Source organism: Homo sapiens, chromosome 16 (genome assembly GCF_000001405.40).
Source record: "Homo sapiens chromosome 16, GRCh38.p14 Primary Assembly".
Classification (NCBI taxonomy): Eukaryota; Metazoa; Chordata; class Mammalia; order Primates; family Hominidae; genus Homo; species Homo sapiens.
The window spans coordinates 84,856,312-84,870,777 of record NC_000016.10 but is presented as its reverse complement, the minus strand read 5'-3'; the positions used below and the strand labels follow the sequence as shown (position 1 = coordinate 84,870,777).

Genomic DNA, 14,466 nt, shown 5'->3' with positions numbered 1-14,466 from the left:
CGCAACTGTTTATAATGGTGAAAAGCTGGAAATAAGCCAGCAGGTGGCAAAGCAATGGCTAAACACATTCATGTACAGTCGTGTGTCAGAGTATCAGGCAGTCACTAAGCATGAAGTGCGTGAAGAATATTTGGAAAATACTAAGTGAAAATACATAAGCAGCCTAGGCGCAGTGGCTCACGCCTGTAATCCCAACACTTTGGGAGGCCAAGGCGGGCAGATCACTTGAGGTCAGGAGTTTGAGACCAGCCTGGCCTGGTGAAACCCCATCTCTACCAAAAATACAAAATATGAGCCGGGCATGGTGGCGTGTGCCTGTAGTTCCAGCTACGCGGGAGGCTGAGGTGGGAGAATCACTTAAACCCGGGAAGCAGAGGTGGCAGTGAGCCGAGATCATGCTGCTGCACTTCAGCCTGGGTGACAGAGCAAGACTCCAACTCAAAGAAAAAAAAAAAACAAAATACATGGGCAGCATTAGCCTCATCTGTACACAGAAAAAAAGACTGGAAGGAAATACATCAAATTGCTGCTGGTATTGATGAGATTTTGGAACACATTTTTTTCTTTCTACTTTTTTGTTGTTGTTATTGCTTTCCTGAATAATTATTAATGAGCATAGATGCCTTTTCAAGTCAGAAAAAAAACCCACTGACTACTATTTTTGTAAAAGCACCATGAACAGAAAACAGGTGTGCCAGACTGTGGGCCGGCTTCTACAGAGAGAATGAGGATGCTCCCACAGTGGCACACTGGGGCTGAGTAACTTTTCTTGACTGGAGGCCTTTAAGAGCCTTTGTGTGGACAGATTCTTGCCTTCTCCCTGCATGGGGAGTGCCCCACCCACCCCAACTCTGGAACTGCCTCGATGTTGTCTGACAAGGAATGTTCTCCAATACGTGCTCACCTTTTTCCACTGAGTACTACTCAGGGGTGATGCTATCGCAATGTGCTTAGCATTCAGAAAGATGCGTTGCCACAAAAGGACAACTCCGGCTTCTCAGCAGCCCAGACGGGGCAGTGCACACGGCGGAGGCCCCTGCCAGGCGCTGCCTGCTTTTTCCCAATTCGCCCAGCACAGAGACATGCAAATGCTACCCTAACACTGAGCGCGAGGTTTTAGGCACTGTTATTCCACTGCTGACTGTTGACACATGAGGCTCATCTCACCAACAAACGACAGTACCACATGTGAGCCCACTGAGCCGCCTCATCCCGGCTGCTCCAAGTCCATCTCATCACAGTCCTGCCAACGTCTAAGTGAAGTGTTCTCCTGGCAAACTGAATTCCAAACCCTTGCGATATAAAACCGAAGATTCAACCTTCCCTTTTTAACATGTGCTTTAAATAACTCGATTCAGCTTTCGGCAAACTGATGCCAGAATTCGTAGGAAGACGAGCAAGGTCCCCTCTCCCAATGACATGGTTTTCCCATTTGACTCTGAGGGTGTGCGTGCGGCGGCTGCACCTGTTGGCTGTTTACTACCACAAAGAACAGCCCAGCAGTCACACTGCCAAAACCAAATGCGTTCTTTTTGGCAGACAGCGTTCATCATCTGAATGACTGCAACAACTAGATGGATTTATTCATCTACCATGGGGGGAATATACCGGTGGCCCATCTGTCTGGTGGGGCCCACTGGGAGCAGCCTGCTCAGATCCTGCAGCATTCCCATAGGATCTGCCAACGGCCGAGGCGAACACATGCCCAGACACTGCCCAGCCCTAACCCCTGTTCTGCCTGCTGAGAGCAGCTTGCTAAATATGCAACAGCAGGACAGCCCAGCATAGGCCCAGAGGCCACAGTGGTAGGACAGCCCAGCACAGACTCAGAGGCTACAGTGGCAGGACAGCCCAGCACAGGCTCACCTGTTACACGTGGACCCTTTGCACCTGTCCTTCATCTTGGTGTCACATCTGACGACTTGGGCTAGGAGAGAAATGCGGGAATACATGTCACGGCACGAAACCAGGAGGGTGAGAAGACCCTTCCCCATGCTGAGGGACATTCTGGAACATTCTGCAATCCAATCCGTGCTATACTAAGAGCAAGGGCAATGCCTGATGGTTGCAGGCTTCCGCTGGGGGCTCAGACCCCAGGCCCACCGCTTTACAGTAGCAGTGTGACCTTGAACAATTTGCTTCCCCTCTCTGAGGTTCAATTTCCGCATATGGACAATGCGGACAGTGACAGTACCCACCTCCAAGGGCTTTTGTGAACCTTGAGAGAGAAAGTGAACTCTGGCCTTGGCAGGGTGCCTGGCACACACGATGTGCCTGTGGTCCCACAGGGCTCTGCAGGGCAGGACTCCTGAGAGGGTAGGGAGGATGCTGCTCCGAGCCTGTGGGGCCGGAGACCCAGCCAGGCTCACCCGAGTCATCTCCCCCATCGCCAAGATGCCTTTTGCAAAGCTTTTTGCTTTGTTTATTTTATGGGAACATATCAGAGTCTCGGAGTCGTGTTATAGTTTGAAAAGGGACATAAACGTTGTATGTTATTAAAAGAAACAATGGCACCGTTTTGAACTCCTGGACAGACAAGGGCCTCCGCAGGTTTCCTGGTCAAAGCAAGCTACAGAATGCTTCGGCATCACAGGGAAAGAGGTTTGAAGAGGACAGAAAGACTGGTGGGGGCAGGGGAGATGGTAGTTATGAAAAGAAGAGAGGGGCTCTGAGAAGGCGGGTGTGAGGCTGTTCCTCAAAGAGGGGTCCAGTTTTAGGGCCTTTGAGGCTTGCGGGGCAAACGGGGAGAGCCAAGGGCATCCAGCCCAGCCCTCCAGCCCCGCCTGAGCAAAAACGCCCCTCCACAGCCCCCGGCCTGCAGAAACGGCGGCTGCAAATGAGTTCCCGCAGCAGTGGCTGGGGGGAGCTGAAGGGGAGCTGAACTCCACCCTGGGGCGGTGAAGGCAGACAGAACAAAAGCTTGGGGAGCTGAGGTGCCCAGGGAGCCAAAAGGCCAAAGGTGAGCAGGGGAAGAGTCAATATTTTGGGGATTCCTGGAAGTCCCAGGGGGAAACATCTCCCTTTCTCTACTAAAAATACAAAAATTAGCTGGGCATAGTGGTGGGCACCTGTAGTCCCAGCTACTCAGGGGGCTGAGGCAGGAGAATTGCTTGAACCCGGAAGGCAAAGGTTGCAGTGAGCCGAGATCATGCCACTGGACTCCAACCTGGGTGACAAGAGCGAAACTCCATCTCAAAAAAGAGTTGTAGGCAACTCTGCAATGATCTCAATGTACAGGGAGACCTCAGCTGGCACTGGGTGACCCGTGTTGCTGCAGCTCATCCTCCGGGCAACCTTGATGTGGCATCTCTATCCCCTACTTCATGGATGCGCCAACTGAGTCCAGACCCAGGACCTGGTGAGAAAGGAGTGGAACCTTCCAGAGCCAGGCTGGACGCTGCCTGCCCTCTGCAGGGCCAGCGCTTCCCAGAGGAACCCAACTTCAGCCCAGGTCCCTTTTGAAAGGACAAGGGAAGGTCTAACCTTAAAATACCTGCCTGGGTGTGGGGAAAATGCCACCCAAGCACAAGTCCTATAATGCTCGCTTTTGAAATGACTTAAAAATATCGTTTTTGAAAAACGTCTTATGGTTGTGCCTCCATGAGCTTCGCCGCACCCTGTTTGCCACTGCCTGTGGATTTGCAGACCTAAATCCACTAGCTCCCCTCCTCCACCCACCCCGTCCCCTTTGGAGGTGGCTGGGAGGGCAGGAGGGGCGGAGGACGGCCTAGACTCACTCATGTAGTTGACCGCAGAGGTTTTCTTGGGCTTGGTGGGTCTCATCACCCTCGGTTGGAGCCAAACATGGTTTTCTTCAGGAATGGGAGCCGTTTCCACCTCATTCATCTCGTCCGTTTCAGGTTTTGGAGTGTAGGTTTCTTCTTAACATTGGAGAGGGAGGAAAAAAAATAACACACTGGGATTCAACAAAAACGCACTTTGGGGAAAAAAAAGCAATTTGAAAACTAAACGTGTTTGAGGTTTGGTTTTACAAAGAATCATTTCAGCGGCAAAGAGAAAGTTACATTTCAGAACAGACCTGGCCAGGTGGAATTCTACCAGCCCAGATGAGACGGGGACGCTCTCCGCTCACTGTGTTTGCTTTGGACCCAAGATCAGCCAGGCTGCCCAGAGGTTAGCAGGCCCCACGCCCACACCTGGGTTATCATAATGGTTTCTTGTCCCATCTCCTCCTCCACCTGACCCTCTGCCCCCACGAAGCAACTTCAAGAAGCTGCCTCAGGCCGGGTGCGGTGGCTCATGCCTGTAATCCCAGCACTTTGGGAGGCTGAGGTGGGCGGATCACCTGAGGTCAGGAGTTTGACACCAGCCTGGCTAACATGGCGAAACCCCGTCTCTACTAAAAATACAAAAATTAGCTGGGCATGGTGGCGGACGCCTGTCATCCCAGCTACTTGGGGGGTGCTGAGGCAGGAGAATCGCTTGAAGCCGGTAGGTGGAGGTTGCAGTGAGCCGAGATTGTGCCATTGCAGTCCAGCCTGTGTGACAAGAGCGAAACTCCATCTCAAAAAAAAAAACCAAAAAACAAAACTGCCTCGGCCACTGGCCCAAAGCCATAGTGGACTTGCTGGAAGTCCCCTGTCCCTGGGTTTTCACTGGGGAAGGGGTCTTCCTCATCATGCACACATCACGGTGCACAAGGCCAGCCTCAGTGCTCCTAGACCCCAACTGCACCTCACACCAGCCCACTTCCATCCCTTCTCTCCTCCTGCCAGTCAGGGTCACTTAACCAGCTCAATTGTTGCTTCTGTACTGGAGTTTTACTGTCCAATAATGTCAGACTCAACATGTAGAACTATCCAACTATCCGAAAGAACAATCTTTTCCTTATTCAAGGACATGGTATATTATTATTTCTCCAACTATGACCATGACCCATGTTTTAAAACATTTTAATTAACCAAACACATTGCACTTAATAAACCTGAGTTAGCTTATCTTCCAGTTTTCATCCTGAAAGACAACTACAAACTGCTCACCAGAATCTGCAATCAGGCCACCAGGATACCAATTTGTAAATTCCAGCTAAAGCAAAGACACTGCTATTTTCATTTGCCTGAGCGGCCTGATCAAAGACAAATTCACGAGCATATCTGCTGGGGACACTTAATACCTTTACTTATGGCATGCTCCTCCTATGCCCCAACAGAAGTCTTTGGACCAGAGTTGGAAACCTGTGGCCTCCAAGCTCCCCAAGCAAAAAAGGCAACAGATGTATTTGGGTGAAAACAATTTCAAGGAGAATAACTAGAGCACGCTCGCAGGTCTCTTTGTGGTTTTGGATTAAAATCCAAGTTTCAGGGCCAGGTGTGGTGGCTCATACCTGTAATCCCAGCACTTTGGGAAGCCGAGGCGGGTGGATTGCATGAGGTCAGGAGTTTGAGACCAGCCTGGCCAAGAGGGTGAAACCCTGTCTCTACTAAAAATACAAAAATTAGCTGGGCATGATGGCGGGTGCCTGTAGTCCCAGCTACTTGGGGGGCTGAGGCAGAAGAATTGCTTGAACCTGGGAGGTGGAGGTTGCAGTGAGTGGAGATCGTGCCACTGCACTCCAGCCTGGGCGACAGAGCGAAACTCTGTCTCAAAAAAAAAAAAAAAAATCCAAGTTTCATCAGGTGTTCCTCAATCCCTAAGTCTTAGCTCCACTTCTTAAAATACATGAGCTTTCTTTGCTAAAGGACACAGCAAGTATTTTGTGTCCACACAATACCAAACAGCCAAACGAGGGGCAAATGCCTGACTCCCTGACGCCTTCCTGGGCTGGGGTTCTCCATAGCTGCTTCACTGGCCAATTTCACTACCCTACAACCACCACCCCAGGCTGGTCCTGTCCCACAAGGGGAAGGGACGGGTTTAAGTCAGAAGGTGGGAAGCCATTCTGAGCTCCAATTCTAATCTTGGATGTGCTCACGGGTCACCCTGCACTGTTCCCCAGCAGCTTGCTCGCAACTGTCATTTCCCCACCACCTGCCTCATCCACCAGCTGCGAACCTCCAGAGGCCAGGGGCCAGCCTGCCTCACACCTGGCACCCAGCACACAGCAGCTGCTCAACAAAATTCACAAATGCATGAACTACCAAAACCCCCAGAGAATCCTGTCACCTAAAGAAAAGAGCATATGTCCAGCAACAGAGCTTAAAGACATTCAAAGAGGGAACTCTGAAAGCACCTCTGGTAGCAAAAGCTATGGGTGGAAGCTTCAGGAAGACACCGGGTTTGCAGAGGCTGCCCAGGCGCGTGTCTGTTCTTCCCGTCAATGAGGCTATTCAGGCTTGCCCTCACTGAGAGCGGGAGCTGGCTGGAGAATAAGCCGGGTTTTCTTCCACTGGCCTTTAGGATGTTTAGACCTCATAATCGCAGCTTTATTTAGCCGAAGACAGTTTGGTAAAGCGGTCTAAAGCATTTGAGGACTCTCTATTTAAGAAAATGGGCAGACAGACAGTCCTGGCTCTCACACCCACAAATGAAAAGTAGAAGGCTTTACCCGCAGGATGGGCTGGATCCGAGTACCTCCTAATGAAGACACCTTGTATGGCCCAGCACGGGCCTGGGGAAATTCCGTGCAGAGGTCACGGCAAGGTTATTCTGTGCCCCATTCTGCTCCGGGCCAGGGTCTCAGGGCATTGTTTATGTCACTCTGCAGATTCCCTTCTGGCTCTAAAGCTGGTGACCATGCCCGGAGCTAATGTTCACTGAGCACTGGCCAGATGCTGGCTGGGCCCTCCCCGGCATGCATTTTTCTTTCTTTTCTTTTCTTTTTTTTTCTCTCTCTCTTTCTTTCTTTTTTTTTTTTTTTTTTGAGAGGAAGTTTTGCTCTTGTTGCCCAGGCTGGAGTGCAATGGTGTGATCTCGGCTCACTGCAACCTCCGCCGCCCGGGTTCAAGCGATTCTCCTACCTCAGCCTGGGATTACAGGCATGCGCCACCATGCCCGGCTAATTGTGTATTTTTAGTAGTGACTGGGTTTCTCCATGTTGGTCAGGCTGGTCTCAAACTCCCGACCTCGGTGATCTGCCCGCCTCAGCCTCCCAAAGTGTTGGGATTACAGGCATGAGCCACCGCGCCCGGCCATCCCCAGCATTTTCTTCTGTCAACCTCCCATTTGCCTTCAGAGGCATGATTGGCCACATTTCACAGATGAGGAAGAAGGCTCAGAGAGGGTAAGGGCCCTGCCCAGGCTCGCACAGCTGGGAAGTACCTGGGCTGGGTGTCAAACCACCTTTCCCCAAAGCCTGCGCCTTCTATCACCACACAGGTGGGGGTGAGAGGGGAGAATACCTCTTTTTTTATATCCTTATCCCTGCTCCATCTCCGTTAGAGGTCAAGGCCTTACCAGGCACCCTGGATATGCTCTTGGTAAATAGCTTCTGCAGATAAGCTGCTTCAGAGGAGACTTGCTGCGTGCTTAGCTAGAGAAATTGGGTGTCTGCCAAGGAAAGTTGGATACTTTCTACCAAAAATTTAAAAATAAGTACATGAAGCTATGTTGGTGGAGGTAAACTGGCATCTAAGGTTTCTGTGCACATTTGTTCTTTGAAAATGCCCCTCTGTGGCTATTGGCATATTTATTCAAACAACACATAAGACACCCCTGCCATGTGCCTCCGGAGGCCCTGGAGTGAGCTGGCAGCTGAGACGACAGGACGATCAAGGTTCCCAAGGAGTCTGGGGGTTGATGAACATGGGGCAGGTGCACTGTCTGGCTGTGAAGTCCAGGAAGGCTCCCTGGAGGCGGGGGTCACACCAAGACTGCAACAGGTGATACATGACCCAGACCCAGATACATGGTCTGTCTTAGTGTCCAGATCGCTCCTTCTTCCATCCCCATCCCCACTTAGGATGTCCCCTCTCCCCAGCGGGCAGTCAGCCATGAACAGCTGGCTGGGACAACAGAGGACCTGGCTCCTCAGAGGGTCTGGGACCACTGATCTAGCCCACTTGTTCTTCACTCCAGAACCCACCAGCCTGATCCCACATCTACCCCACCCTTCCCTGCCAGCGGAGCCCACCCAAGTCTCTGCAAGGCCCCTCGGTCATGGCAAGGCTGCCAGTGGAGCCACGTTAAAAAAAAAAAAAAAAAAAAAAGCCTGGGCCACACGAGCATGGTCAGCACCATGGACCAGCCATGCCCCATCGGGGACATAACTTCTGAAAGCCTGAGGAAATATCCCAAGACATGAGAAACGCTTTAGGCACCAGAAACCTGTGTTATTTATAGTAGCAGAAGTGGAAACATCCTAAATGGGAACCAGTGAAGAAATGGTGGGCGGGCATGATGGTGCACGCCTGTAATCCCAGCTCTTTGGGAGGCCAAGGAGGGAGGATTGCTTGGGAGTTTGAGACCAGCCTGGGCAATATAGTGAGATCCCGTCTCTACAAAAAATTTTTAAAATTAACCATGGTGGCATGTGCCTATAGTCCCAGCTACTCGGGAGGCTGAGATGGGAGGATCCCTTGAGGCCGGGAGGTTGAGGCTGCAGTGAGCCAAGATTACGCCACTGCACTCCAGCCTGGGCAACAAAGGGAGGCCATGACTCAAAAAAAAGGTGAACTAGGTAGAAAATCGCACCGCCCCAACAGCTCCAGTTCTGAGAGCTGTGGGAGTGGGGGCGAGAAACCTCTAGCACAGTCAGGGGAGCACCAGCAAGACACATGCATAAAGGGGAGGCCAATGGGGGCAAGGACACAGGAGTAAAGGGTCAAACAGCCCGGGAGGACTGATCCTACCCAGCTGTCCACATTGCAGGTACTTCCCACTAGTGAGCTCATTTGGAATATCACGTTGTTTGCTTTTACTTTCTTGTTCAAATGTCTGTTTTATGTTTTTAGAGTTGGGGTCTCGCTGTGTTGCCCAGGCTGGAGTGCAGTGGCGCCATCATGGCTTACTGCAGCCTCAAACTCCTGGACTCAAGCGATCTTCCCATCTAAGCCTCCCAGGCCACAGCCAGGACCACAGGTGCACGTGACCACACCTGGTTAATTTTCTATTTATTTTTTGTAGAGATGGGTTCTCGCTATGTTGTCCAGGCTGATCTAGAACTCCTGGCCTGTGATGGTTAATACTGAGTGTCAGCTTGACTGGATTGAAGAATGCAAAGTATTGATCCTGGGTGTGTCTGTGAAGGTGCTGCCAAAGGAGATTAACATTTGAGTCAGTGGGCTGGGTCTTGGTGGGCACCATCTAATCAGCTGCCATAGCAGCTAGGATATAAAGCAGGAAGAAAAATGTGAGAAGGCGAGACTGCCTTAGCCTCTCAACCTACATCTTTGTCCCATGCTGGATGCTTCCTGCCCTCGAACATCAGACTTCAAGTTCTTTAGCTTTGGGACTCGGACTGGCTTCCTTGCTCCTCGGCTTGCAGACAGCCTACTGTGGGACCTTGTGATTGTGTGAGTTTAACACTCCTTAATAAACTCCCCTATATATATATATCCTATTAGTTCTGTTGCTCTAGAGAACCCCGACGAATACAGATTTTGGTACCAGGAGTGGTTCTAGAGGAACACAATATTAAGGATGGAGTTCTTTCATTGGTTTTAGGGTTTCTGGAGTTGGCTGCTTAATATGATTAGATCCCAAAATGCTAAGGACTCTACTTCTAATAGTATGGAGAACACTGGGAGTCCTTGGCATGAGCTATTTGGAGAGTTATGCACAATAAATGCATTTGACACTCCTGATTCAGCGCTCCTGAGAGGGGAGTTCAGTGACTCTAGACTGAATACCTCTGACTATATGTGGAGAACCAAGGAACATAATGAAGCTGATTGGTTGCTTCTAAGTTCACCGGACAAAGTGATGAAAGAAAATGATGAACTCAGGGATTCTAACTTCCGGCTTCAGAAGCAGATACTGAGCCTCAAATCTGCTAAGATTATCATGAGTGAGTCTTATCTCCTGTAGAGAAAGAGCTGAAATTGTGGAAAAACAGACACAAGCTCTTCTCATGCAAGTGGCTGACCTGCAATGAAGGTGCATGCACAGACACCTCGCTAGGTGTCTACTTATTAAAGTGAGGGCATTGATTGGAAAAGAATGGGGAAGTGTGGGAGGACCCTGCTGAAGCTAGGGACACTGAGCTTGTAAATGCTGATAAACCTTTTTTGCCAGAAGAAACAGGTTCCCCATCCCCAGTAGTGGCAACGTCTCCTCCCCGACCCACGCTGCGGTCAGCCTTTCCACCTTTGTCTGAGGGGATAAACCCTGCACTGCCTGAGGCGCCTGAGGCAGCTGCCAGGCAAGATAATGCTGATTCTCCTCAGGAGCCAACCCCAACATCCCTGTTTGCTTCTAGACCTATAACTAGACTAAAGTCCTGGCGGGCTGCTAGAGGTGAGGTTCGGAGTGTGACACATGCTACACTCGAAAAGAACTGCTTGAATTTTCAAATGTATATAAGCAGAAATCTGGAGAATAGTCATGGGAATGGATATTAAGGGTGTAGGATAATGGTGGAAGGAACATAGAGTTGAATCAGGCTGAATTTCTTGATTTGGGCCCACTAAATAGGGATTCTGCATTTAATTTAATGTTGCAGCTCAGGGAGTTAAAAAAGGTTCTTCACTGTTTTTATTTGCTTTATTTGCTTGGTTAGCTGAAATATGGATTAAAAGGTGGCCCACTGTGAGTGAACTGGAAATGCCTCATCTCCCTTGGTTTAATGTGGATCCAAAGGCTTAGGGAGATTGGGATGGTAGAGTGGATTAGTCATTTTGGACCTACTCATTCCAGCTGGGAGAATCCAGAAGATATACCCTTGACTAATGCTTTGTGAAATAGATTTGTAAAGGCAGCACCTGCATCTTTGTAATTGCTTTTTTCTGTATGTCAGATCTAACAGTGGGAACCACAGTCACTCAACTACAAAATTTAAATGCAATGGGAATGATTAGATCCCAAGGTGGCAGGGGCCAAGTGGCAGCACTCAACCATCAAAAGTAAGGTGGGCATAGCTACCGTAATGGACAGCAGAGGCAAAGCAGCAATCAGAATAGTCTGGCTCGTGTAGAGTCCTGTCATTGGCTAATTAATTGTGCTGCTCCTAGAGGTGAAATTGACAGGAAGCCTACTACATTCCCACTTAATTTACATAAGCAGAAAACTTCCAGATTGAGTGGACAAAAGACTAATTTGAATTATAAAAACAGAGAATCACGGTCCCTCCATCAATTTCCAGATTTGAGCCAGTTTACAGACCCAGAATCCCTTGAATGAAGGGGAGGCTAGGTCCCCTTGAGGAAGGACCCCACTACGCTACTGACAATTTATGCTGTTCATCTTTCTCCCATACTTCCCCGGGGAGACCTCTGGCCTTGTACCAGGGAAACCGTGCACTGGGGAAAGGGAAATGATCAGACATTTTGGGGACTACTGGACACTGGCTCTGAGCAGGTGTTGACTCCAGGGGACCCAAAACATCACTGTGGTCCTCCAGTTAAAGTAGAGGCTTATGGAGGTCAGGTAATTAATGGAGTTTTAGCTCAGGTCTGGCTTACAGTGGGTCCCTAGATTCATCCTGTGGTCACTTCCCCAGTGTCAGAATGCATAATTGGCATAGACATACTTAGCAGCTGGCAGAACCCCCACTTTGGCTCCCTGACAGGTAAGGGAGGGCTATTATGGTGGGAAAGGCCAAACAGAAGCCATTAGAGCTGCCCCTACCTAGAAAAATAGTAAATCAAAAACAATATCGCATCCCTGGAGGGACTGCAGAGATTAGTGCCACCATCAAGGACTTGAAAGACACAGGGGTGGTGATTCCCACATCCCCGTTCAACTCTCCCATTTGGCCTGTGCAGAAGATAGATGGATCTTGGAGAATGACAGTGGATTATCGCAAGCTTAACCAAGTGGTGACTCCAATTGCACCTGCTGCACCAGATGTGGTTTCATTGCTTGAGCAAATTAACGCATCTCCTGGTACCTGGTATGCAGCCACTGACTTGGAAAATGCCTTTTTCTCCATTCACGTCCGTAAGACCCACCAGAAGTAATTTGCCTTCAGCTGAAAGGCCAGCAATGTATCTTTATTGTCCTAAGCTCAGGGGTATATCAATTCTCCAGCTTTGTGTCATAATCTGATTCAGAGAGAACTTGATTGCTTTCGCTTCTGCAAGATATCACACTGCTCCATTGCACTGAAGACATTTTGCTGATTGGATCCAGTGAGCAAGAAGTAGCAAACACGTTGGACTTATTGGTGAGACATTTGTGTGCCAGAGGATGGGAAATAAATTTGACTAAAATTCAGGAAACTTCTACCTTGGTAAAATTTACAGGGGTCTAGTGGTGTTAGGCCTGTTAAGGTATTCCTTCTAAGGTGAAGGAGAAGTTGCTGCATTTGGCCCCTCCTACAATCAAGAAAGAGGCACAACGCCTAGTGGGCCAATTAGGATTCTGGAGGCAACACATTCCTCATCTGGGTGCGTTACTCTGGCTCATTTATCAAGCGACCCAAAAGGCTGCCAGTTTTGAGTGGGGTCCAGAACAGGAGAAGGCTCTGCAACAGGTCCAGGTTGCTGTGCAAGCTGCTCTACCACTTGGGCCATACGACCCAGCAGATCCAATGGTGCTTGAGGTGTCAGTGGCAGATAGGGATGCTGTTTGGAGCCTCTGGCAGGCTCCCATAGGTGAATCACAGCAGAGGCCTCTAGGATTTTGGAGTAAGGCCCTGCCATCTTCTGCAGATAACTACTTTCCTTTTGAGAGACAGCTCTTGGCCTGTTACTGGGCTTTGGTGGAAACTGAACGTTTGACTATGGGTCATCAAGTCACCATGTGACCTGAACTGCCCATCATGAACTGGGTGCTTTCTGACCCATCGAGCCATAAAGCGGGTCGTGCACAGCAGCATTCCATCATCAAATGGAAGTGGCATATGTGTGATTGAGCTCAAGCAAGTCCTGAAAGCACAAGTTAGTTACATAAGGAAGTGGCTCAACTGCCCATGGTCTCCACTGCTGCCACCCTGCCTTCTTTCCCCCAGCCTGTACCAATGGCCTCATGGGGAGTTCCCTATGATCAGTTGACAGATGAAAAAAGACTAGGGCCTGGTTCACAGATGATTCTGCATGATACGCAGGCACTACCTGATAGTGGACAGCTGCGGCAGTACAGCCCCTTTCTAGGACATGCTTGAGGGATGGCAGTGAAGGGAAATCTTCCCAGTGGGCAGGACTTCGAGCAGTGCACCTGGCTGTACACTTTGCATGGAAGGAGAAATGGCCAGATGTGCGATTATATACTGATTCATGGGCTGTAGCCAGTGGTTTGGCTGGATGGTCAGGGACTTGGAAGAAGCATGACTGGGAAATTGGCGACAGAGAAATTTGGGAAAGAGGGATGTGGATGGATCTCTCTGAGTGGTCACGAACTGTGAAGATGTTTGTATCCCATGTCAATGCTCACCAAAAGGTGACCTCAGCAGAGGAGGATTTATTAGTCAAGTACATAGGACGACTCATTCTGTGGACACCACTCAATCTCTTTCCTCAGTCACCTCTGTCATCGCCCAATGGGCCCATGAACAAAGTAGCCGTGTTGGCAGGAGTGGAGGTTATGCATGGGCTCAGCAACATGGACCTCCACCCACCAAGGCTGACCTGGCTATGGCCACTGCTGAGTGCCCAATTTGCCAGCAGCAAAGACCAACACTGAGCCCTCGATATGGCACCATTCCTCGGGGTGATCAGCCAGCTACCTGGTGGCAGGTTAATTACATTGGACCTCTTCCATCACAGAAAGTGCAGAGGTTTGTCCTCACTGGAACACATGCTTACTCTGGATACAGGTTTACCCATTTTGCGTGCAATGCTTCTGCCAAGACTACCATCCGTGGACTCACAGAATGCCATATCCACCGTCATAGTATTCCACACAGCATGGCTTCTGACCAAGGCACTCAATTTATGGCTAAAAAAGTGTGGCAGTGGGCTCATGCTCATGGAATTCACTGGTTTTACCATGTTCCCCAACATTCTGAAGCAGCTGGATTGATAGAACAGTGGAATGGCCTTTTGAAGTCACAATTACAATGCCAACTAGGTGACAATACTTGGCAGGGCTGGGGCAAAGTTCTCCAGAAGGCCATGTATGCCCTCAATCAGCATCCAATATGTGGGATTGTTTCTCCCATAGCCAATATTCACGAGTTCAGGAATTAAGGGGTGGAAGTGGAAATGGCATCACTCACCCTCACCCCTAGTGACCCACTAGCAAAATTTTTGCTTCCTGTTCCTGTGACATTACATTCTGCTGGCCTAGAGGTCTTAGTTCCAGAGGGAGGAACGCTGCCACCAGGAGACATAGCAGCAATCCCATTAAACTGGAAGTTAAGGTTGCCACCTGGACACTTTGGGCTCCTCCTCCCCTTAAGTCAACAGGCTAAGAAGGGAGTTACAGTGTTGGCTGGGGTGAGTGACATGGATCATCAAGATGAAATCAGTC

At 49.7% G+C, this 14,466-nt stretch overlaps 1 protein-coding gene across 2 annotated transcripts in view; it reads right to left on the bottom strand.

The window, feature by feature from the left end:
* CRISPLD2 (cysteine rich secretory protein LCCL domain containing 2) overlaps positions 1-14,466 on the bottom strand; it is an 89,524-nt gene that overhangs the window by 38,731 nt on the left and 36,327 nt on the right. For both annotated transcript variants that reach the window (XM_005256190.2, NM_031476.4), the window contains 2 exons: positions 3,738-3,881; positions 1,867-1,927 (listed from right to left, as the gene is read on the bottom strand). In XM_005256190.2, the coding sequence (XP_005256247.1) occupies positions 1,867-1,927; positions 3,738-3,881 (205 nt within the window). The remainder of the gene's footprint in view (positions 1-1,866; positions 1,928-3,737; positions 3,882-14,466) is intronic.